The sequence below is a fragment of the Homo sapiens genome, chromosome 17, assembly GCF_000001405.40.
Source record: "Homo sapiens chromosome 17, GRCh38.p14 Primary Assembly".
NCBI classification, from domain to species: domain Eukaryota; kingdom Metazoa; phylum Chordata; class Mammalia; order Primates; family Hominidae; genus Homo; species Homo sapiens.
Genome location: NC_000017.11, coordinates 82,652,383 through 82,674,940, shown reverse-complemented (window position 1 = coordinate 82,674,940; position 22,558 = coordinate 82,652,383). Strand labels below are relative to the sequence as shown.

Here is a 22,558-nt window from a genome sequence, read left to right as displayed (position 1 = left end):
CAGGCGTGGCTGGATTCTGGTGCCTGAACGATGCCGTCAGGATTATCTCGTGTTGTTCTTTCTCCTCTGCCTACTCCCTGCACACACCCTGGCCCTGCTTTCTTCTGTGTTAGGTTCATTCTGGGGTTCGTTCTTCCCACCTGGTGAGGAAGCTGGCCGGCAGCAACTCCAAACCATACGAACGTTGCCTGCGATGCCAGAGTGACGCAGGTGACAAGGAGGCCCCTCCCCCGTTCAGTCAGTCATTCCCCAGGTGTTTTAGGTTGCTTTTTCTTTTCTTTTCTTTTCTTTTTTTTTTTTTTTAAGACGAGTCTTGCTCTGTCGCCCAGGCTGGAGTGCAGTGGCGCGATCTCGGCTCACTGCAAGCTCCGCCTCCTGGGTTCACGCCATTCTCCTGCCTCAGCCTCCCGAGTAGCTGGGACTACAGGTGCCCGCCACCACACCCGGCTAATTTTTTTTTTTTTTGTATTTTTACTAGAGACGGGGTTTCACCCTGTTAGCCAGGATGGTCTCGAACTCCTGACCTCATGATCCGCCCACCTTGGCCTCCCAAAGTGCTGGGGTTACAGGCGTGAACCACCACGCCTGGTCTTTTCTTTTGAGACGGAGTTTCACTCTTTTTTGCCCAGGCTGGAGTGCAATGGCGCGATCTTGGCTCACTGCAACCTCCGCCTCCCAGCCTCAGTGACTCTCCTGCCTCAGCCTCCTGAGTGGCTGGGATTACAGGCACCCGCCACCACACCCGGCTAATTTTGTATTTTTAGTAGAGTTGGGCTTTGACCATGTTGGCCAGGCTGGTCTCAAACTCCTGACCTCAGGTGATCCGCCCGCCTCGGCCTCCCAAAGTGCTGGGATTACAGGCGCGAGCCACCGCGCCTGGCCAGGTTGTTGCGTTTTCTAGTTTGTCCAGTGTTGATAGTCACAAAATAAGAAAGATCTTGGACATTGAAAACAATAATTTCAAAGAAGGGATAAAAGTTAAAATGAGATGAATTCCCAGAATGCTGGGAAAAAGAGAGAGAGATGCAAAATCAGACAAGAAAGGTGGGAAACAGGCTCAGGAGGCCCAGTATCTGATTAATCACATCCCAGAAGGAGAGAACAAATTATCCAAGAAAGTTCCCCAAAATTGAGATTTGTGTCTCCAGATTGAAAGGCCCATGGAGTGGTCAGCCTGGCCACGAAGATCCCTACAGCAAGGCCCACAAGGTGTGCAGTTTCAGAGAAGCGCCTCCATGCCCACCAGGAGGAAAACCAGGTTGCATTCAGAGGGTCAAGAATGAGTTTACGGCCGATCTCAAAAGGAACTCTGGAATGACTGAACGTGTTTAAGGGAAAAGCATCTTCTCCCTCAATTGTATGCCTGTCCAAACACAAGGAAGAGTGAGGGCAGCCTAAAGACATTTTCAGACGTGCAAAGTCTCAGATACTACCTTCTTCCATGCACCTTTCTCAGGAATTGAAAAGAGGAGTCAGCTTAAGAGAGGGAAGGATGGAATCCAGCAGTAAGGGAGTGGGGGCCCCAGGGCAACAGTCCTCCCAGTCCAGATGGGAGCAGGACAGAAGGTCTGGAAAGATGCCCCAAAGAAAGTGAAATTCCTGAATGTTTGCAGGTACCGAGAGCAGATTTAGATAGTTGGGGAAAATTACAGTGATGAATTAGTAATAAATGCAGAGAAAACTGAACAAGTAAACAATGAGTAAACAACAAGTAAACATGAGGCAATTTTTTTTTTGAGACAAGAGTCTCACTCCATCACCCAGGCTGGAGTGCAGTTGCACGATCTCAGCTCACTGCAACCTCCGCCTGCCGGGTTCAAGCGATTCTCCTGCCTCAGCCTCCCAAGTATCTGGGACTACAGGCGCCCACCACCATGCCTGGCTAGTTTTTGTATTTTTAGTAGAGATGAGGTTTCACCATGTTGGTCAGGCTGCTCTCAAACTCCTGACCTCAGATGATCCACCTGCCTTGACCTCCCAAAGTGCTGGGATTACAGGCATGAACCATCACGCCTGGTACAATGAGGCAATTTTTAACTCCAGTAGAAACAAAAATTCGTACATGAAGGAAAAATAAACATTGTATACCATATGGTGGTTCAGCTGTGGATGGCGTCTACCTGGTGTCATTTTCTGTTGCTGTAACAGAATACCACAAACTGGGTAATTTATAAAGAAAATAAATGCATTTCTTACAGTTCTGGAGGCTGGGAAGTCCAAGGTTGAGGGGCTGCATCTGGGGAGGGCCTCCTGCTGCGTCATAACCTGGCAGAGGGCATCGCGCAAGCCCGTCAGCTCAGGTGTCTTCCTCTCCTTGTAAGGCCACCAGTACCATCATCAGGGCCCCACCCTGCTGACCCTACCTAATCCTAATTACTTGGCAAAGGCCCCACCTCCAATCAACATACAAACTGGAGGTTTACCTTTCTAACGTGAAGTTTAGCGGACACATTCAAACCATAGCACCTGGTTATGACAGTGTAGAATGGAATATCCATCTAGCTTAAAAAGCAACAAAACTGTACAGGGAGCGTGTGAGTGTGTGTGTTAGAGTTACAGGGGTGAGGTGTGTCAGTGGGTACAGGGAGCGTGTGAGTGTGTGTGTTAGAGTTACAGGGGTGGGGTGTGTCAGTACAGGGAGCGTGTGAGTTTGTGTGTTAGAGTTACGGGGTGGGGTGTGTCAGTGAGTACAGGGAGCGTGTGAGTGTGTGTGTTAGAGTTACAGGGGTGGGGTGTGTCAGTGAGTACAGGGAGCATGTGAGTGTGTGTTAGAGTTACAGGGGTGAGCTGTGTCAGTGGGTACAGGGAGCGTGTGAGTGTGTGTGTTAGAGTTACAGGGGTGGGGTGTGTCAGTGAGTACAGGGAGCATGTGTGTGTGTTAGAGTTACAGGGGTGGGGTGTGTCAGTGAGTACAGGGAGCGTGTGTGTGTGTTAGAGTTACAGGGGTGAGCTGTGTCAGTGGGTGAGTGTGTGTGTTAGAGTTACAGGGTGAGCTGTGTCAGTGGGTACAGGGAGCATGTGAGTGTGTGTTAGAGTTACAGGGGTGGGGTGTGTCAGTGGGTACAGGGTGTGTGAGTGTGTGTGTTTTAGAGTGACGGGGTGGGGTGTGTCAGTGAGTACAGGGTGTGAGTGTGTGTGTTAGAGTTACGGGGTGAGCTGTGTCAGTGGGTACAGGGAGCATGTGAGTGTGTGTTAGAGTTACAGGGGTGGGGTGTGTCAGTGGGTACAGGGTGTGTGAGTGTGTGTGTTTTAGAGTGACGGGGTGGGGTGTGTCAGTGAGTACAGGGTGTGAGTGTGTGTGTTAGAGTTACGGGGTGAGCTGTGTCAGTGGGTACAGGGAGCATGTGAGTGTGTGTTAGAGTTACAGGGGTGGGGTGTGTCAGTGAGTACAGGGAGCGTGTGAGTGTGTGTGTTAGAGTTACAGGGGTGGGGTGTGTCAGTGAGTACAGGGAGCATGTGAGTGTGTGTTAGAGTTACAGGGGTGGGGTGTGTCAGTTAGTACAGGGAGCGTGTGTGTGTTAGAGTTACAGGGTGAAGTGTGTCAGTGAGTACAGGATGTGTGTGAGAGTGTGTGTGTTAGAGTTACAGGGGTGAGGTGTGTCAGTACAGAGAGCGTGTGAGTGTGTTAGAGTTACGGGGTGAAGTGTGTCAGTGAGTACAGGATGTGTGACTGTGTGTGTTAGGGTTACAGGGTTGGGGTGTGTCAGTGAGTACAGGGAGCGTGTGAGTGTGTGTTAGAGTTACGGGGGTGGGGTGTGTCAGTGAGTACAGGATGTGTGTGACTGTGTGTGTTGGAGTTACAGGGGTGGGGTGTGTCAGTGACCGAGAGCTACATTTTCATCTTCTGTAGTGGAAAGTCAGTGGATGCCTAAAACTGAAATGTCAGGAAGTAGGAATGTAAGTATGTTCTTCATCAATCTGGAGATGCATAGCAAAAGAAGTTATTTTAAAGGATTAAAATGGGGAAGGGAGACAGGGGTTCGGGTGGGCCAGGGTCCAACATCGTGGATCGTGACAGCACTTCAGACTGTGAGCATCCATGACTCCATGAAAACAGAAACGAAAGATGGTTTTGAAACTCGTAGGGCGCTTAAAAAGACCATCAGGAAGCCGGGCGCGGTACCTCACACCTGTAATCCCAGCATTTTGGGAGGCCAAGGCGTGCAGATTACAAGGTCAGGAGTTGGAGACCAGCCTGGCCAATATGGTAAAACCCAGTCTCTACTAAAAATACAAAAATGAGCCGGGCGTGGTGGTGGGCGCCTATAATCCCAGCTACTCAGGAGGCTGAGACAGGAGAATCCCTTGAACCCGGGAGGCGGAGGTTACAATGAGCTGAGATCGCGCCACTGCACTCCAGCCTGGGCGACAGAGTAAGACTCCGTCTCAAAAAAAAAAAAAAAAAATCAGGAATTCTTTTACATTTATGAACACATTTTAAAGTTGTTTGGCCCTTGGCTGGGCGTGGTGGCTCATGCCTATAATCCTAGCACTTTGGGAGGCCAAGGCAGGTGGATTACCTGAGGTCAGGAGTTCGCAACCAACCTGGATAACATGGTAAAACCCCGTGTCTACTAAAAGTACACAAATTAGCTTGGCTTGCTGGCGTGTGCCTGTAATTCCAGCTACACGGGACGCTGAGGCACGAGAATTGCTTGAACCCGGTGGGCGGAGGTTGCAGTGAGCGAGATCACGTCACTGCACTCCAGGCTGGGTGAGAGAGCGAGACTCTGTCTCAAAAAAAAAAAAAAAAAAAAAAAAAGATTGTTGGCCCTCAAGGACAGGTCAAGAGGATACTTTCTAAGTCAGAGGACCCAGCCAAGCTCAGGCAGTGGATTAATCTCCGGAAAGACAAATATGAGCCTCTCAGCCCGTGGGGGTGAGTGTCCCTTCGTCTGGAGACAGACATATCAAAGCTGGAGTTATCTCCGCATTCGAAAATAGATTCCCAAGTGTATTCGTTCATTGCCTCGTGCCTGCCAAGGGAAAATAAATATTTCCAAAATTCTCTTTGAGGATTGCTATTATGGAGCAAATATGTATGTTCTTTTTTAATTTATTGTTTGTGTTTCACGCTCAGTGTGTTCATTGCTGACGGCTGCAGGACTTGGCACATGATGGTGCCTTCCCGAGAGCTTAGTAGGGTTTTAAAGGACTGTGAAGAGATTTTTGGTCGTCGCTCAAAGCGTAATTTCACAGGGCCTGAAGCTCCCGCGCTGGGGCTAGTAGAACTATCTAGTTGGAAGGCTCCAGAAAAGTGTTTTTGTCTCCTTTTACATTTTTTTTTAGAGACAGAGTCTCACTCTGTCACCCAGGCTGGAGTGCAGTGGCACGATCATAGTTGACTGCAGTCTCCAACTCCCGGGTTCAAGAGATCCTTCCACCTCAGCCTCCTGAGAAGCTGGGACGACAGGTGTGCACCACCATGATTGGCCAATTTTTTTATTTTTTATTTTTATTTTTTTGAGACAGAGTTTCGCTCTTGTTGCCCAGGCTGGAGTGAAATGGTGTGATCTCGGCTCACCACAACCTCCACCTCCCAGGTTCAAGCAATTCTCCTGCCTCAGCCTCCTGAGTAGCTGGGATTACAGGCACCCGCCACCACGCCCGGCTAATTTCGTATTTTTAGCAGAGACAAGGTTTCTCCATGTTGGTCAGGCTGCTCTCGAACTCCTGACCTCAGGTGATCCACCCCGCTCGGCCTCCCAAAGTGCTGGGATTACAGGCGTGAGCCACCGCGCCCAGGCCCTAATTTTTAAATTTTTTGTAGAGATGAGGTCTCACCATGTTGCCCAGGCTGGTTTCGAATTCCTGGGCTCAAGCGATCCTCTCACCTTAACCTCCCAAAGAACTGGGATTACAGGCGTGAGCCACCGTGCCTGGCTATTTTCCTTTCTGTAAAAGGACTGTTTCCTTGATACTCACTTGGTCACCTGGGAAAACCACAGCAGTGTGGTTTTGGTCTGACAGCAATGGAGGCTACGCCGCGTGCCCCACTGTGGTGAGGTCAAGCTCCTGGTGCTAAGATGCTGATGGTAGCAGTGGCCCATCTAGAGTGGCTGCTGCCAAGATGCCGGCTGCAGCGGAGGCATGGCTGGGCCTCTCGATCCACGGATCAGGCAGCAGCTCCGCCTTCCCTGCGTGCCGCGGCCCGCTGCCCTGGGGCAGCTCTAGACGCGGGCGTCTCTGTGCTCTTGGAGGCCTGGGAAGGCCACCCCTGCCCCCTGCAGGCTTAGAAGTGCCTGCTCCAAATGCCTGGCCTCTCCTCACTCCCCACGCCCGCTCCAGTCGTGGAGCACAGTTGGGGCTGAGCCCAGGTGCTGCTGCAGACCATCCGGGTGGGTCCACACTTGGGGCAGCACGGACACACCAGCCCTTGCCACCTCAGCCCCCTCGGGACTGGGCGCTGTTGAACATGGGAGGGAAGCTGAGGGAGGGCTGAGGGTGGCTCAGTGCTGGCCTGCAGGCGCCCCTTGGCATGAACAAGCTGGGTGCCATGAACAGCAGTGGGAGGCAGACAGACTTCTGGGTGGAAGGGGGCAGGTCCCTGGTGAAGCCACACCTTGAAGCTTCAAGGGGGCCTGGGGCCCGGGCTGCCAGTCCTGCAGACTGGAAGGAGGACTCGGTGCTTTTGTCAGAGGGGGGATGTGCATGCTGGTTGGGGTGGGCTGCCTGTGGACCAATCAGCGTGCACTTCCCCACCCTGAAGACCACAAAAACCCCAGACTCAGAGCAACGCGGACGTCGGGATGACCAGCTGCGGAGAGCTACCCTGTCTGCTGAGAGCTGAACACTTGTCAGGACGACCTGCCTGCAGAGAGAAGCCACCCACTGTGGGTCTCCCCTGAGCTGTTCTAACACTCAGTAAAGCTCCTCCTCGTCTCGCTCACCCTCCACTTGTCTGGGTACCTCATTCTTCCTGGATGCAGGACAATAATTCAGCAGCCACAGAGGTTTCCAGCCGGAAGAGCAACATCCCAAAGGCCCCATCAGTGCCCCGTCAGCGCCCATGCCAAGAAGAGAGAGACAGACGGTGCACTCAGCGTGCCTGCTGGGCTCGGTGGCAAACGTTTGGCCAGCTCAGGAAAGCCTCGTACTGGGTGGGTCAGGGGACTGCTTGGCCGCTCTGTCTGAGCCTCATCACGGGGCAGGTGGCGTCTGCAAAGCGGGTGCTTCGGGCGTTCTCAGTGCTGCTGTATCTTTTGTCCTCTGAATCACTCTCCTCTGACGGGGGGAGTTTGCTCTGGTGTTGCTTGGTCTAATCTACCTGGTGGCGTGATGGGCAGTCTCTGTGGACAGAGTGTGGAGTTTAGCAGGAGACAGAGGAGGATGCGGGAAGCCTGGACTCCATGTCTCTGGGGCTCTGGTGGCACCACAGAAAGAGCCTCTGGAGTCCAGGAAGGGGGCAGGGCCCGGAGGAGGAAGCAGAGGGCAGGGGACAGGCTGGACACAGCAGCTGTGGGAGGGAGGGGTGCTCGGGATCTCATGGAAGGCGCTGCACAGGTGTGCTCAGATCAGGCAGGTGTGCCATGCACGTGCTCATGGCTGCATCAGTGGAAAGTGGAGGACAGAGGCCCAGAGCTGCTGCAACGCCCAGGCCTGCCTGAAGATGTGGGCGACCAGCTGTCCAAGCCAAGTGGGAGGCCACCGGTGGCACCGCCACTGCACACCTCGCTCTGCCCGACAGGAGACCAGGAACTCGGCACACTGCCTCCTGGGATGCAGGGGGGCTTGTGGCCAAGTCCAAGGGTTCTAGACCCTTCGAGGGGGCAGAAGCTGCTTGAGAACCGTGGCCTCCGCAGCCTCGCATTTTTAGAGGAGCCTGTTTCTGGGCACTCACTGGCTACATCGTGGGCTTCTCTGGAAGGAGAGCTGCAGAGGCCGTGTGCTCCACGACGGTCTCCAGGGTGAGGTCTGGTGCGAGCCTCGGCGCTGCTTCTCCCCTCGGCCTCTCAGCGGCGCGCTTCCCTTTAGAATTCTGATTCCCTATTCAGCCATACTTGTCAAAGCACTCAACATCCGATCACAGCCGAGAGTGAGGCCAGGGCTTGTCTCTTGTAGGTTTAGTGCTTTGAGAGATACTGTCAAGTAAATCCTATACATGAAATAAATCAAGCAAATCCCACAAAGGCTGGTCATGTCTTGTTACTAAGCAGTTTGGGTTCCTGTGATTGTACGTGTCATTGTACCTGGTTTTAGGAAGGCAGTGCTCCTACCCGGCATTCTCCAGCCCCTTAACTCAAACCCTCTCTTTCCATGTTCTCAATGACAGACCTGGTGCTCATCCGGAAGCGCTAGAAGTGAACACAGGAGATGTTTCCTAAAGAAGCAGAACACTGGTGTCTGGGGGGTGATGGGGGCGGGGAAACATATTTTTCCCTTTAAAAATATTTATTGGCCGGGAGCAGCAGCTCATGCCTGTAATCCCAGCACTTTGGGAGGCCGAGACAAGTGGATCACCTGAAGTCAGGAGTTCAAGACCAGCCTGACTGATATGATGAAACCCCATCTCTACTAAAAATACAAAAATTAGCTGGACGTGGCGGTGTATGCCTGTAATTCCAGCTACTCAGGAGGCTGAGGCAGGAGAATCACTTGAACTCAGGAGGCCGAGGTTGCAGTGAGCCAAGATTGCACCACTGCACTCCAGCCTGGGCAACAAGAGCGAAATTCCATCTCAAAAAAAAAAAATGTATTGTGGCCAGGCATGGTGGTTCATGCCTGTAATCCCAGCACTTTGGGAGGCTGAAGTGGGAGGATCACTTGAGTCCAGGAGGTTGACCAGCCTGGGCAACACAGCAATGCCCTGTCAATTAGCCAGGTGCGGTGGCAGGTGTGGTGGCAGGTGCGGTGGCAGGTGTGGTGGCAGGTGCGGTGGCAGGTGCGGTGGCAGGTGTGGTGGCAGGTGCAGTGGTGTGCCTATGAGCCCAGGAGGTAGAGGCTGCAGTCAGCTGTGATTGTGCTACTGTACTAGAGCCTGGGCGAGGGGGAGACCCTGTCTCAAAAAAGATTTTTTTTAAGTGTAGTTTTTTTTTTTTTTTTTTTTTTTTGTTGTTGTTCTTGTTGTTTGTTTTGATACAGAGTCTCCCTCTGTCGCCCAGGCTGGAGCACAGTGGCACAATCTCAGTTCACTGCAACCTCCGCCTCCCGGGTTCAAGCAATTCTCCTGCCTCAGCCTCCCTACTAGCTAGGATTCCAGGAGCCCGCCACCACACCCGGCTAATTTTTGAATTTTTAGTAGAGATGGGGTTTCATCATATTGGTCAGGCTGGTCTTGAATTCCTGACCTCAAGTGATCCACCCGCCTCAGCCTCCCAAAGTGCTGGGATGACAGGCGTCAGCCACCGCATCCAGCCCTTAATTGTAGCTTTTTATTTTAGAAGAAGTGTTCCAGCATGGTGGCTTATGCCTGTAATGCCAGCACTTTGGGAGGCTGAGCCGGGCAGATTGTGTGAACTTAGGCGTTTGAGACCAGCCTGGGAAACATAGCGAAACCCCGTCTCTACAAAAAAATACAAAAATTATCTGGCCCTAGTGGCACATGCCCGTAGTCCCGGCTACTCAGGGGACTGAGGTGGGAGGATCACTTGAGCCTGGGCTGTGGAGGCTGCAGTGAGCTGTGATCACGCCACTGCACTCCAGCCAGGGCGACAGAGAGAAACTCTGTCTCAAAAAAAAAAAAGAAGAAGAAAGGCATTCTCGGGTTTTTTTTTTGTTTGTTTGTTTTTAACTTGAAAAAATAGAAATGTGGAAAGAAGGTTCCAGCCTACCTGTAATCTGCACCCCAGAGGTGGCTGGGACGGGTGTGCAGTCCCGTGTCCCTGCACATGCGTGGTTCACATGCACATGTACACAGCTGAGAGCGGGCATCCCACGCAGCGTCACGTCTGTCTTTACTGTACTTTCCTAGTGTGATACTGGGGGACGCAGTCTCAGTGTCTGCAGAGCCGCTGCCTTAGCCCCGTTCCCTTGGAAACAGAGCTGAGTCGGAGCTCTCAGGCCTGCAGGCTTGGGGAGGAGGTGGGGAGGGAAGGACCAGCCCAGACGGGGGCACACCCAGCGGCCACAGCCCCGCGGCAAACCCACCGGCCTCCAGGTCACATGTAGGCCCTGCAGTGCCTGTCGGGGAGCCCCCTGGGCCAGGGTGATGCGAGCCTGACCCCCACAGAGGCCAAGGCGGCTGAGGACAGGAGGGGCCCGGGTGCGGGAGGGCGCAGGCAGGGCCCCTGTGAGCTTGGGCAGACACAGGGAGGGGGTCCCATCCGCCTGCCTTGTAAACCTGGAAGTTGCACTGATGAGAAACCCTTTTCTTCCCTGAACGTGAGACTTCCAGCGTCCTGTTAGCTGCAGCCTCAGGCCTAAGCCGTCTCTAACCCTTCCGCAGGCATCGACTACAAGACGACCACCATCCTGCTGGACGGGCGGCGGGTGAAGCTGCAGCTCTGGTGAGTCTGGAGGAGGTGCGAGCGTCCCGCACCCCCAGGGAGTAACCCCCCTGGCTGGCATAGCACCCCCTGTCAGCACAGTGCCCCGGGGAGCACCCATCCCCCACCACCATCGGCACAGCGCCCCCGGGAACACCCTCCCACCACCACCGTCGGCACAGCACCCCGGGGAGCACCACCAGCCCCACCACCATCAGCACAGCACCCCGGGGAGCACCCTCCCCCCACCACCATCGGCCCAGCACCCCAGGGAGCAAGCTCCCCCCACCACCATCTGCCCAGCACCCCAGGGAGCACCCTTCCCCCACCACCGTCGGCACAGCGCCCCCGGGGAACACCCTCCCACCACCACCATCGGCACAGCACCCCAGGGAGCACCCTCCCCCCACCAACATCGGCACAGCACCCCGGGGAGCACCCTCCCCCCACCACCGTCGGCACAGCACCCCCGGGAACACCCTTCCCCCACCACCGTTGGCACAGCGCCCCCGGGAACACCCTCCCACCACCACCGTCGGCACAGCGCCCCGGGGAGCACCCCCAGCCCCAGCTGCACCAGGGCTTCTCTGAAGGAGGTGGTGGTCCGGTTGTCTGGGCCCCCGTCATCCAGAGTAGGGGACCCCAGAACGGACATAGCGCTGTGGCTGGGAATCGGCTTTTGGGATCAGAACCTGTGGCCTGGTGTCTGTGGGAAGATGCCAAGAGGGGACCGATGCAGCGTGGTTGAGGCAGCCCGGGGCTCCTGGGTCCCCCACGCCTGGCTCAGTGATGCCACTGAGCACCCGGCAGGGAGCTCGGAGCGTCCTGGTGCCAGCGGGGCTGTGGTCGGGCCTGCGGGTGGAGGACCCAGACGTGGGGAGGTGAGGACTTGCTGGCCAGCCTGGGGCTGCTGGCTCTGCTCTCTCAGCTGTGAGAACCCCAGCTCCTCACCTTGGGGCAAGCCCGGGGCACCTCTCCCTCCCCCAGCACCCCCACCTTGGGGCCAGCTTGGAACACCTCTCCCTCCACCCGCTCTTGGCTTGGGATGGGGGGAGCTCCTGCGGTTCCAGCTCTGGGGCGGTGGGGATGGGGGGCTCCTGCGGTGCCTCATCCTGGGGCTGCCTCCCTCTTGGGCATCCCTCCTGCACTGCTGCCACTCCTGGGTGACCCTCGCCTGAGCCTCCTGGCCCTTCCTGCCTGCTGGGCCACCCCCGAGCCACGTGTGCCTCCAGCAGCTGGGACCCCCTTCTCTTACCTGTCCCCTTCCTACGCCTGCCCCGTCTAGTAGTGGCCAGTCCTGGGGAGCCTGTCTCCACAGTGTCCCCAAGCGCCCCGACCCTTCCTGCTGCACAGCTTCAGGCCTCCCGCCCAGTCTGCTCTCAGGTCCCCACTCCCCCGGGGCCATGCCCTCGCTGGGCTGGCGTTGGGGTTGCCGTCAGCCCCTGTCCTGCTCCCCACCCTCCGCCAGCTGGGCCTTTGCTGCCTCCTCCTGGCCCTGAGCCCTGCAGGTCCAGGACCTTGTTCTCAAGTCTCTCCCTCCCTCCCCGAGACCACTCCTTCCTGAGGGGCCAAGGCCACCCAAAGGCCGCACTCGGCCCCACGCCTGCCCCTGAGCTCAGTGCCTTCCTAAAGATCTGCTTGCATCAGGGCTGGCGCGTGCCCTCTCCCAGCTCCACCCCGGGTCTGGCTGCTCACCTTAGCGAACGCCTCCCTGACCCCAGCTGCCCAGTGGGCCGAACAGTCACCCTCACACTTTTCTCCCTCTCACCTCAGGAGTGAGATCCCAGGGGGCTTCTGCCAAGCTCAGAATCCCCCCAGGCCCCAGCAGGACCCTGAGGCTGCTCTCCTGTGGTGCCGGTGCCAGCTCTGTCCACACTGTCGTCTGAGCAAGGTCACACTCCCACCGTGGACCCCGGAGTGTGGACCCCAGAGTGTGGTCCTTCCTGGTGCCCACAACTGGGTCTTCTGCCTGCCCCCACCTGCCCTCACCTCCCTCCCCACACCCACTGGGGCTGGGGTTGGGCTCTGCTCTGCTCCTTCAGGGTGGCAGCGGCCCAGGAGGCCGGCACGTTGTCCCAGCTGAGGAGGGAGTGCTCCCACTTCACGATGGGGCACTCTGACAGCACGTGCTGGCCCTTCGGCCTCCCTGCGAAGCTGGCAGATTGACCTGGCCCGCTGCCTCCTCGACCATAGCTTTTGGGCAGCTCCCGCTGTGTGCAAAGCCTGAGCACCTGAGGTCCTGCTGAGGCTTGAATTCTAGATCAATTTGCTTCTCAGGAAATGAGGCACTCACTCCTAGGCTTTGGCAATGGCCAGTGTCGCTGGTCCCCTCTGGAGCCCCAGGCCCTTCTCTCTCGTGCTGAGGGTGGTCACCGACCACAGGTGCATGTGACACAAACAGCAAAACCATGCCGCGTCCCACCGCTCATCCGTGAGGTTGTGTCTCGTGTGCGGGGCCAGCCCCTGGCCCACTGGGGAATCTCCCATTGATGTAGGTGTGTTCGTTGCATGTGCAGACTCCGGGAAACAGCGCTGGCTGTCCCAGGGCCGCCTCCTCTGGGAACTGATCCCTGGGGAGCACCCTTTCCACCCTCATTTGTTTCTTCCTTTTTTTTTTTTTTTTTTTTTCTGAGACAGAGTCTCACTCTGTCTCCCAGGCTGGAGTGCAGTGGCACGATATCAGCTCACTGCAACCTCCGCCTGCCGGGCTCAAACAATTCTCCTGCCTCAGCCTTCCGAGTAGCTGGGACTACAGGAGCACACCACCATGTCCAGCTAATTTTTGTATTTTTAGTAGAGACGGGGTTTCACTATGTTGGCCAGGCTGGTCTCCAACTCCTGACCTCGGGTGATCCGCCTGCCTCGGTCTCCCAAAGCGCTGGGATTATCGGTGTGAGCCGCCAAGCCCGGCCTTTCATTTGTTTCTTGGAGCTCCGTTCTGGTCTTTGTGGGTCCCAGTACCTGCTGCGTGTGCCGTCATCTGAGAACTCAAGCCCTGCCTGCAGCTCACGCCAGGCAGTTCCCTGTATCCCTCCCCTCTTAGGGGCACACTGGAAGGGCTGACTCCATGTGAGCTCTTACAGTTGAACTGGAAGAGCAGGGATCCCACCGGCCTCTCTCCCCTGGTGTAGACCCACACTCCTTACTGCATAGATTTATCTTCAGATTCAACAAGTTTTTTAAAGCCTACATTGAATGTATTTAAATATCTGAGAATTATGTTAAAACCGTCACTATTTTTTCTAGTTTGACTTTTTAAATGACAGAGAAGAGCATGAGCCTGGGAGGACATCCCAACACCCGGATCCCTTCAGGGACATTGGAAAGTTTTGTTGGGGTCTCACGCTGGCGGCGTGGTGGCTGCTGACTGGCGGGTGTGTGGTGCACTTGCTGTGGCTCTGAAGTTCCAGAACCTGTTGTCAGGAAGAAGCACTGGTTTCTTCTTAATGGTCTCCAACATCTTTTCCAGGGATACTTCAGGCCAGGGAAGATTTTGTACCATATTCCGCTCCTACTCCCGGGGCGCACAGGTAACACAGCATCCCCCGAGCTGGGAGATCAAACCAACTTTGAATAATAACATTTACAATGCTTAACTTACCATCCTTTAATGGATGATTGGAGGACAAGGCGGTTAAGCTTACGTATAAATTGGTGCTGAGAGTCTAAAAACGTGCTGTAGAGTGGTTGGTTGTTTGAAAGACTTCATCAGTATTACGGATGTAAGCGTGCATTTACGGGACTGTGTGTGCATGTACACGTGTGTGCAGGTACGTGCACTGTGTATGCGTGCATCTGTGCATGAGTGCCTGTGTGTGTGTGTGTGTGTACATGTGTGTGCAGGTACGTGCACTGTGCATACGTCTGCATGAGTGCCTGTGCGTGTGTGTGTGCACGTGTGTGCAGGTATGTGCAGTGTATGTGTGCATCTGGGCATGAGTGCCTGTGCGTGTGTGTGTGTACACGTGTGTGTAGGTATGTGCACTGTGTATGCATCTGTGCATGAGTGCCTGCATGTGCGTGTATGTGTACACGTGTGCAGGTACTTGCACTGTGTATGCGTGCATCTGCATGAGTGCCTGTGCGTGTGTTTACACGTGTGTGAAGGTACATGCCCTGTGTATGCGTGCATCTGTGCATGAGTGCCTGTGCGTGTGTGTGTGTACACGTGCGTGCAGGTACGTGCCCTGTGTATGAGTCTGTGCATGAGTGCCTGCTTGTGTGTGTAATGTGTACGTGTGTGCTTGCCTGTTTATGTGCATGCATGTGCACACATGAACTGCGTGTGTGCACTGTGTGTGCATCTGTGCATGAGTGCCTATGTGTATGTGTATGCAACATGTGTGCAGGTATGCACTGTGTGCGTCTGTGCATGAGTACACGTGTGTACACGTGTGCAGGTATGTGCACTGTGTCTGTGCATGAGTGCCTGCGTGTGTGTATGCAACATGTGTGCAGGTACGTGCACTGTGTGTGCGTGCATCTGTGCACAAGTGCCTGTGTGTGCGTGAGCTCCATGTGTATGTGCACGTGTATGCGTGCAATCCATCCAGGTGAGTGGGCCACACTCCTCGAGAGGTGGCGATTACTGCGGTGCCCCTGCATCCTGTGTTCCTGGAGTGGCTCGTGGGTGTGAGTTCTAGTCCCCAGATCACCGTGACATTTGAGGGTTTATCACTGAGCTTATGAAATATCACTGAAAATGATCATAAAACTGCTACATTCAGTTGATAAATCAAAATTATGTACTTTGTGTTAAAATAAGGAAAGTGGTTATTTAGTTGTATGTCTTTGCGTGCATGGCCACAGCTGTGCCTGCATCTGTGTTCTGCGTGCTGAGCCTGTGACCTCTCCCCCAGGGTGTGATCCTGGTCTATGACATTGCGAACCGCTGGTCTTTTGACGGCATTGATCGATGGATTAAGGAGATCGATGAGGTATGTTGTAGAAATGCCACTGCCCAAGATCCCTGTAGGCTTGGGAGGACGTCAGGCCAGGAATTAGGGCCGGGCCCTCCAGGGCTCATGGGTACCCATGGATCACAGGCCAGGGCACCGGATGGCGCTCCAGCAGGAAGGAGGGTGCCTCACCTCGGCACAACACTGGATAGGGCTTTGGTGATAGCTACAATCACGAAAGCTCAGGAAGCTGGTCCAGACGAAACGAGCGTCCACGGCGTACCTCGGCTATGCGTGGGGTCAGGTTTGGCCTGCTTCACTCCCTGCTGTGGTCGGGCTGGGCTGACCAGCAGTGACCGGCGCTTGTGCCTGCTGGCACGCAGACCAGCCCGCCTGGCAATGGTGACATGGCGTGGTCGACACTAAGCCCACTGTATGAGTGTCCCGGGGCTGCTAGAACCGACGACCACAACCTGGGCGTCCTGAACAACAGAAATGCATTCTCTCACGGTTCTGGAGGCCAGAGCCCAAAACCAAGGTGTCGGCAGGGCCACTTCCCTACAGCCGCCTCTCCCAGCTCTCGGCGGTGCCAGCAACCCTGGGCCCTCCCTGGCTTGTGGCTGCACCGCTCCAGCCTCTGCCTTCGCGTAACATGGCCTCCTCCGAGTGTCTGTGTCTTCTCTTCTCCCAAGGACACCAGTCATTAGATGAGGGCCCTAATTCAGTGCGGCCGCACCGTAACTATTTACGTCTGCAAAGACGGTCTTTCCAAACGAGGTCCCATGCTGAGGTTCTGGGTGGACATGAACTCGTGGGGGGTTCCTCGACCCAGAGCACCCACATTACGACGACAACAAAATCTCACTGAAGTAACCCATGCTCCTCGCCTTTCTCCTGCCCGCTAGCATGCCCCCGGAGTCCCCAAGATCCTGGTGGGGAACCGCCTGCACCTGGCGTTCAAGCGGCAGGTGCCCACGGAGCAGGCCCAGGCCTACGCCGAGCGCCTGGGCGTGACCTTCTTTGAGGTCAGCCCTCTGTGCAATTTCAACATCACAGAGTCGTTCACGGAGCTGGCCAGGATCGTGCTGCTGCGGCATGGGATGGACCGGCTCTGGCGGCCGAGCAAGGGTAGGCCCAGGGGCTATTCCGGGGGCCACCTCTGCCCTCCAGATGCCGAGGTGGGTCAGCGGCCCCCTGGATAAGTGTCTGCCTCCCGGGACCCGTCTCAAGGCCACTGTGTCCGTTCTCAGAGCAAGGCATTTGAGAGAAGTAATGACTACAGCTTTGTCAGAAAGCTCATGAGGGAGCTCCTGGGATCTGTACGTGGGCAGAGGGGACGTCGCGGCAGGGCTTGCTGCATGTACAAGCCAGGGCCACGGGCGTCCGAGCCTTGGGAGGGCGGGAGAACAGGTGTGGGCACCACCCCTCATTCCCAGCCCAGGTGGGGACATCCACTAAGCAAGGTTTATCTTTTCTCTCCCAAGTGCTGAGCTTGCAAGACCTCTGCTGCCGGGCGGTCGTGTCCTGCACGCCGGTGCACCTGGTGGACAAGCTCCCGCTCCCCATTGCCTTAAGAAGCCACCTCAAGTCCTTCTCGATGGCCAACGGCCTGAATGCCAGGATGATGCACGGCGGTTCCTACTCCCTCACCACCAGCTCCACCCACAAAAGGAGCAGCCTCCGCAAAGTGAAGCTCGTCCGCCCCCCCCAGAGCCCCCCCAAAAACTGCACCAGAAACAGCTGCAAAATTTCTTAAGGAAGGCACTGAAAGAAACACGGCGGAATCTCTCCAGGAGAAGCTCGGCGTTACCCCCGGCAGCTGGTGGATGCATCTCAGATCCCGGTTCCTCTCGGCGAATGCTGCTTGCGAATGTGTGCGACGCCTTCCGTGTGATGGAAACACACTACCCCGTCGGACTTCGAATTTCTACGTGGATGTGCATGAAGCTCTTGTTTTCGATGTGTGTTTGTAAAGGGAAAATTAGTACTCTGCTCGACTCTTGGTAACATGAAATTCTGAATGTTACTTTATCATGATTGCACTGCAACTTTTTCCTTAAAATAACTGCTTTTGTAAGAACGGTGATATTGGAGTGATTAGTATAAATTCAATGGAATTTGAGAAGCAATGGCAGCGGGATAATTTAGAGTCACTGATATTACGAGAGGGGTCTTTTTGTAAACCTCCTTTTCAATGTCAAAGCGCCAATTTATAAAACGCTGCAGATGTAGAGGTTATGTGCAACTGATCTGTCCAGTTTGTGTATGAAATGGATTTGATAAAGTTTTTGCTAGTTATTTACTACATTTTGGGATTAATAAGTGATTTATATGCATATTTTTCTGTAAATCTACAGTTTTTTGTACAAGATATTCTACAAGTTATGAAGCTAAGGGAAGAAAATGCCAAAGATACCTCTAGTTATGTTGAACACAGCCAGCACAGTTTCGACATGTCAAGGAAGAGCTGTTTCAGTAAAGAATGAAGTGAAAACACTTATTTAGGAAAATGTTTCTCAACAATAAAATGTATAGTTGTTTCTCTCTTGGTAGAGTTGGCGACCGGTTCTTTCGAATTTTGTATTTATTTATTTATTTATTTTTGAGACAGAGTTTCGCTCTTGTTGCCCAGGGTGGAGTACAATGGCACGATCTGGGCTCACCACAACCTCCGCCTCCCGGGTTCAAGCGATTCTCCTGCCTCAGCCTCCCGAGTAGCTGGGATTACAGAGGTGCACCACCACGCCCGGCTAATTTTTGTATTTTTAGTAGAGATGGGGTTTCACCATGTTGGTCAGGCTGGTGTTGAACTCCTAACCTCAGGTGATCCACCCACCTTGGCCTCCCAAAGTGCTGGGATTACAGGCGTGAGCCACTGCGCCCGGCCAGATTTTGTGTATTTCTTATAGCCCTTTACTTCACTGCGCCACTGCCTGGTGTAGACATCACATATCGGAGCTAATACACGACACTGGCAACAAGGCTGAATCCTTGAACTGTTGTCGCCTGTTGAGAAAGGATTCCTTTTCCGGAACAGAAGTGCAGAGGAGGAGAGAGCGGAGAGTTAAAAGCTGGCACCCAGGCATGTGCCTGTCTGAGAAATCAGAGCCGTGCTCCTGAGCCTCGGTGAGGAGCTCCGAGGGGCTGTCAGGAATTCCGCATGAAGATGTAGCCCCTGACCCCGACTGCCTCAGAGCAGGGCTGACCGCAAAGACCTCCAGGGCCGCTCTCTTCCCTGGTCACACTGTTGAACGTTTCTCTGTGGCTGGGGGTCGCAAATGAGGGACTAAACCAAAAAAACGAAGCGAGAAAATACCCAGATGTTCCTAGTTCCTGCTGATGATCTGTAGATTCTTAGAAACTTAAGGGACCCAGCTGGGTGTGATGGCTCACACCTGTAATCCCAGCACTTCAGGAGGCCGAGGCAGCCGGATCAGAGGTCAGGAGTTCAAGACCAGTCTGGCCAACGTGATGAAACCCCGTCTCTAATAAAATTACAAAAATTGGCTTGGCATGGCAGCGCACACCTGTAATCCCAGCTACTCAGGAGGCTGAAGCAGGAGAATCACTTGAACCTGGGAGGCAGGGGTTGCAGTGAGCCGAGATCGTACCACTGCACCCCAGCCTGGGCGACAAGTGAAACTCCATCTAAAAAAAAAAAAAAAAAAGAAATTTAAGGGACCCTAGAATCAGGGGCAAAGCCTGTATTCAGAGATGGTGGAACCGAGGCCCAGACAGGAGAGAGGAGCACTGGTCCCTGCGGGTGGACCCAGGCTTGGGGGTGTCTGGCCACCTGGGCACGGCAGCCACGGGGACAAAGTCCACGGGGAGGCAGGGGTGTGGTCTGTGGGCAGAAGGTGAACCCTGAGGGGACAGTGTCTGGAGAGGGTGGCCAGCCTCGTGCAGGCACGCTGCAAAGACCTGTGCACCCTTCTCTCTGCTGTGCCACAGGTGGGGTGAGAACGACAGGGCCGACCTCCCAGCTGCAAACACAAGGACACTGAGATGCACAGAAAGGAGAGTCCACGTTGAAGAAACCCACGTTGAGGGGCCTCTTCTCCCTCCGTTCCCAGCTCGCTGATGGTGAAGGGTAAGGAAATGGATCCTCCCATTGCAACATTAAACCAGGCCAAACCTGTATTTTTCTCTTCCTTCCTTTTTCTTGTTTTGTAATTGATGTCTCCTCGGGACTACTGATAATGTCCTAGAAAGAATAAAATAAAGTTTCCCAAGGCTTTGTGACTCAGAGCTCTTTGGAGGTGTTCACCGAATGCACGGGCCGCCCGGAGGCCTTGGCCCTCCAGGGAAACACCACCAGAAGTCCCCAGAAGCGGAACATGTAGCAAGGAGGCTCCCCGAGATCTCCCAGAGGGAGCACAGCCCTGCCAAGTTATTGGTTTTGGACTTCCGGCTTCCAGAGCTACGAGAAAATAAATATTTGTTATTTAAGTCACCAGGTTTGTGGCGATTGTTACGGCAGCCTCAGGAAACTCCTACAAGGAAGTGAGTTACGCTCACGGCAGAAAGTGCTACAGCAAACCAAGGCAGAACAAAAACAGACGAAACCTAATACAGACCGGACTAAGTAGAAGACTGTGTGTTTGGGTGGTGAATATACAAAAAACATAAATATAAATTAAACCTTAGAGAAACTTTGTCATTTTCTTGTCATGTTCAGAGGTGTGGCCTGTTGCTTTAGATCTACAGATTCTTACACACTTTCTTCTCTTAAGAAAGGCTGGCACCTGCCTTTTAAAACCACTGTCCTGGCAGGGCGCGGTGGCTCATGTCTGTAATCCTAACACTTTGGGAGGCTGAGGCAGGCGGATTGCCTGAGCTTAGGAGTTCAAGACCAGCCTGGGCAACATGATGAAACCCCGTCTCTACTAAAAATACAAACCACTAGCCGGGCATGGTGGTGCACGTCTATAGTCCCAGCTACTAAGGAGGCTGAGGCATGAAAATTGCTTGGACCTGGGAGGTGGAGGTTGCAGTCAGCTGAGATTGCACCACTGCACTCCAGCCTGAGTGACAGAGTGAGGCTCCATCTCAAATAAAAATAAAACCACTGTCCCTACCCTGCCGCAGTGCTGAACTCGAGCTGATACTGGTTTTTCTCCTCTACATTCCCATGATGACAGCAAACCCCGCTGGAGCACAGAGGCCCTGAGCCACTGTGGAGAGGGATTCCAAACTCCACCTAGTCCCAAAGCAGTTCTGTTGCTCCAGCCTTCACCCTCTTCTAGGTGAGGTGACCGGCTACTTCCCAGCAGCCCAGAGGTGCTGTCAAGGCTGTTAGCCAAAGGCCACCGTGAACGCCCCTGACTTGCTGCAGCACCAAGCCTCCGACCATCGAGAGGGTGCTGGGGAGTCAGGGAGGATGGGCGGGATTTGGGCAGCCTTGTGGAGGTTTTAGGGAATATTCACGGCAACCGCTGCACCCTGTTCGATGCTGTCAGGAAGCAGGGGTGACTCCGGGACTTACTATCTTAATAATTCTTATCTAGAAGGTGAGAAAAGTGCAGCAAGGTGCAAGGCGTCATTGGTAAAAAGTGGCAGTCACTCACATCCGGCAGGATGGGGAGTGTTGGTCGTCGGGGAGGTGGGCACTGCTCCCACCTGTGTGCAGAGGGGACCCTGCTCTTGTCCTGCCCCCTCGTCACAGGGCGGCCTTGTCCGCAGGGCCAGGTCCAACAGGAGCCTCCCAGGGCCTCGCTGTGCATGCTCAGGGGCTGCCTTGCTCTTTCTTGTCCTGCCCCCTCGTCACAGGGCGGCCTTGTCCGTGGGGCCAGGTCCAACAGGAGCCTTCCAGAGCCTCGCTGGTGCCCAGGGGCTGCCTTGCTCTTCCTTGGTGCCCTTTGAGGTGACAGGAAGATCGCCGTGTGGGCCACGGTGAGAGGCAGGCATACCGGTCTCCATGCCTTTGACCGGGCAGACGCTGACCTTCCAGTTCAGCTGGAGGAAGACTCTGTGTGTTGCTCAAAGCCAATCGCCACCATCTGCTGGTTTCTTGATTCCTTGCCTTGAATGTTTTCCTTTCTTTCTTTTAGAGACAGGGTCTCACTCTGTTGCTCAGGCTGGAGTGCAGCGGCACAATCACAGCTCACTGCAGCCTTGAATCCTGGGCTCAGTGGTCCTCCCACCTCGCCCTCCGGAGTAGCTGACTGCAGGTGTGCACCATCACACCTGGCTTTTTTTTTTTTTTTTTTTTTTTTTGGCAACAGGGTCTTCATAAGTTGCCCAGGCTGGTCTCAAACTCCTGGGCTCAAGTGATCCTCCCACCTCAGCCTCCCAAAGTGCTGGGATTCCAGGCGTGAGGATTAAAGGTTCCAGAGTGTCCAGCAATCTTAACATTGCTCCACGTTCCACTACAGAAAGGGGATAAGGGAGATGGGTTTCTTAAAAGGTCCTCTAATGGTTCTATTTGTGAAATGGATCCTTCATGTAACAGTTCATGTGTGTCTGTTTGAATGAACAGTAGTACTGCTACGAATATCAACACCTGTGTGCCCAACACACAGCAGCTGAAGCAGAAGGAGTAGAGTCTTACCTGCCAAGCCCTCGGCGCGGGTTTCAAGGTCTGTTACTGTTGCTGTAATAAACTACCACAGCCCGGGGGCCTGAAACAACAGAAGTGTGTTCCGTCACTGTTCTGGAGTCCAAGTCCAAAATCAGCATCACTGGGCTGAGATCAAGGCGTGGTACCCTCTGGAGGCTCTGGCAGGGTCCTTCCGGCCTCTTCCAGCTTCTGGGGGCCCCGGGCATTCCTTGGCCTGTGGCCACATCACTGCAGTCTCCGTCTCCGTCCCCATGTGGTGTTTTCTGTTGGTCAATCCTTCCTCTGCCTGAAGAAGCATGTGATGGCACTTGGGGACATCCAGACAATTCGGGACAGTCTTCCTGTCTCAGGGCCTCTTTATCAAATCTGCAGAGACCCTTTTTCCAAAGTAAGAGAATACCTTCTTTATTTATTAATTTTTTTTTTTGAGACGGAGTCTGTCTCTCGCCGAGGCTGGAGTGCAATGGCCCGATCTCTGCTCACTGCAACCTCTGCCTTCCGGGTTCAAGCGATTCTCCTGCCTTAGCCTCCCAAGTAGCTGGGATTACAGGTGTCCGTCTGCCACCACGCCCGGCTAATTTTTGTATTTTTAGCAGAGACAGGTTTTTGCCATGTTGGTCAGGCTGGTCTTGAACTCCTGACCTCATGATCCACCCACCCCAGCCTCCCAAAGTGCT

General features: G+C 54.4%; 1 protein-coding gene and 1 non-coding gene across 6 annotated transcripts in view, besides 2 other annotated features; both read left to right on the top strand.

The window, feature by feature from the left end:
• Positions 1-19,968, top strand: part of RAB40B (RAB40B, member RAS oncogene family) — a 43,726-nt gene extending 23,758 nt beyond the window's left edge. The window contains exons 1-6 of one of the 5 annotated variants that reach the window (XM_006722271.4): positions 4,843-4,879; positions 10,385-10,445; positions 13,894-13,954; positions 15,284-15,361; positions 16,228-16,450; positions 16,807-18,761. In XM_006722271.4, coding sequence (XP_006722334.1) covers positions 4,858-4,879; positions 10,385-10,445; positions 13,894-13,954; positions 15,284-15,361; positions 16,228-16,450; positions 16,807-17,078 — 717 coding nt within the window. In that variant the 5' untranslated portion in view covers positions 4,843-4,857 and the 3' untranslated portion in view covers positions 17,079-18,761. Of the gene's footprint in view, positions 1-4,842; positions 4,880-6,740; positions 7,101-10,384; positions 10,446-12,197; positions 13,955-15,283; positions 15,362-16,227; positions 16,451-16,806 lie in introns of those variants that run through there. The other 4 variants (XM_011523528.3, NM_006822.3, XM_017024042.2 and 1 more) reach the window with 4 other exon arrangements.
• Positions 5,980-6,159: an enhancer, noted in NCBI's record as "active region_13014". NCBI's record gives its function as "activates an Ori minimal core promoter by ATAC-STARR-seq in GM12878 lymphoblastoid cells {active_cell/tissue: GM12878}" and the evidence as "EXISTENCE:reporter gene assay evidence [ECO:0000049][PMID:35858748]".
• Positions 6,634-6,708, top strand: MIR4525 (microRNA 4525). Its single transcript, NR_039751.1, has one exon. It is a non-coding gene; the product is annotated as a microRNA 4525 (primary transcript).
• Positions 10,099-10,599: an enhancer, noted in NCBI's record as "H3K4me1 hESC enhancer chr17:80622218-80622718 (GRCh37/hg19 assembly coordinates)". NCBI's record gives its function as "activates a minimal SCP1, AML or CMV promoter by ChIP-STARR-seq in naive and primed H9 embryonic stem cells {active_cell/tissue: H9 hESC(naive and primed)}" and the evidence as "EXISTENCE:reporter gene assay evidence [ECO:0000049][PMID:30033119]".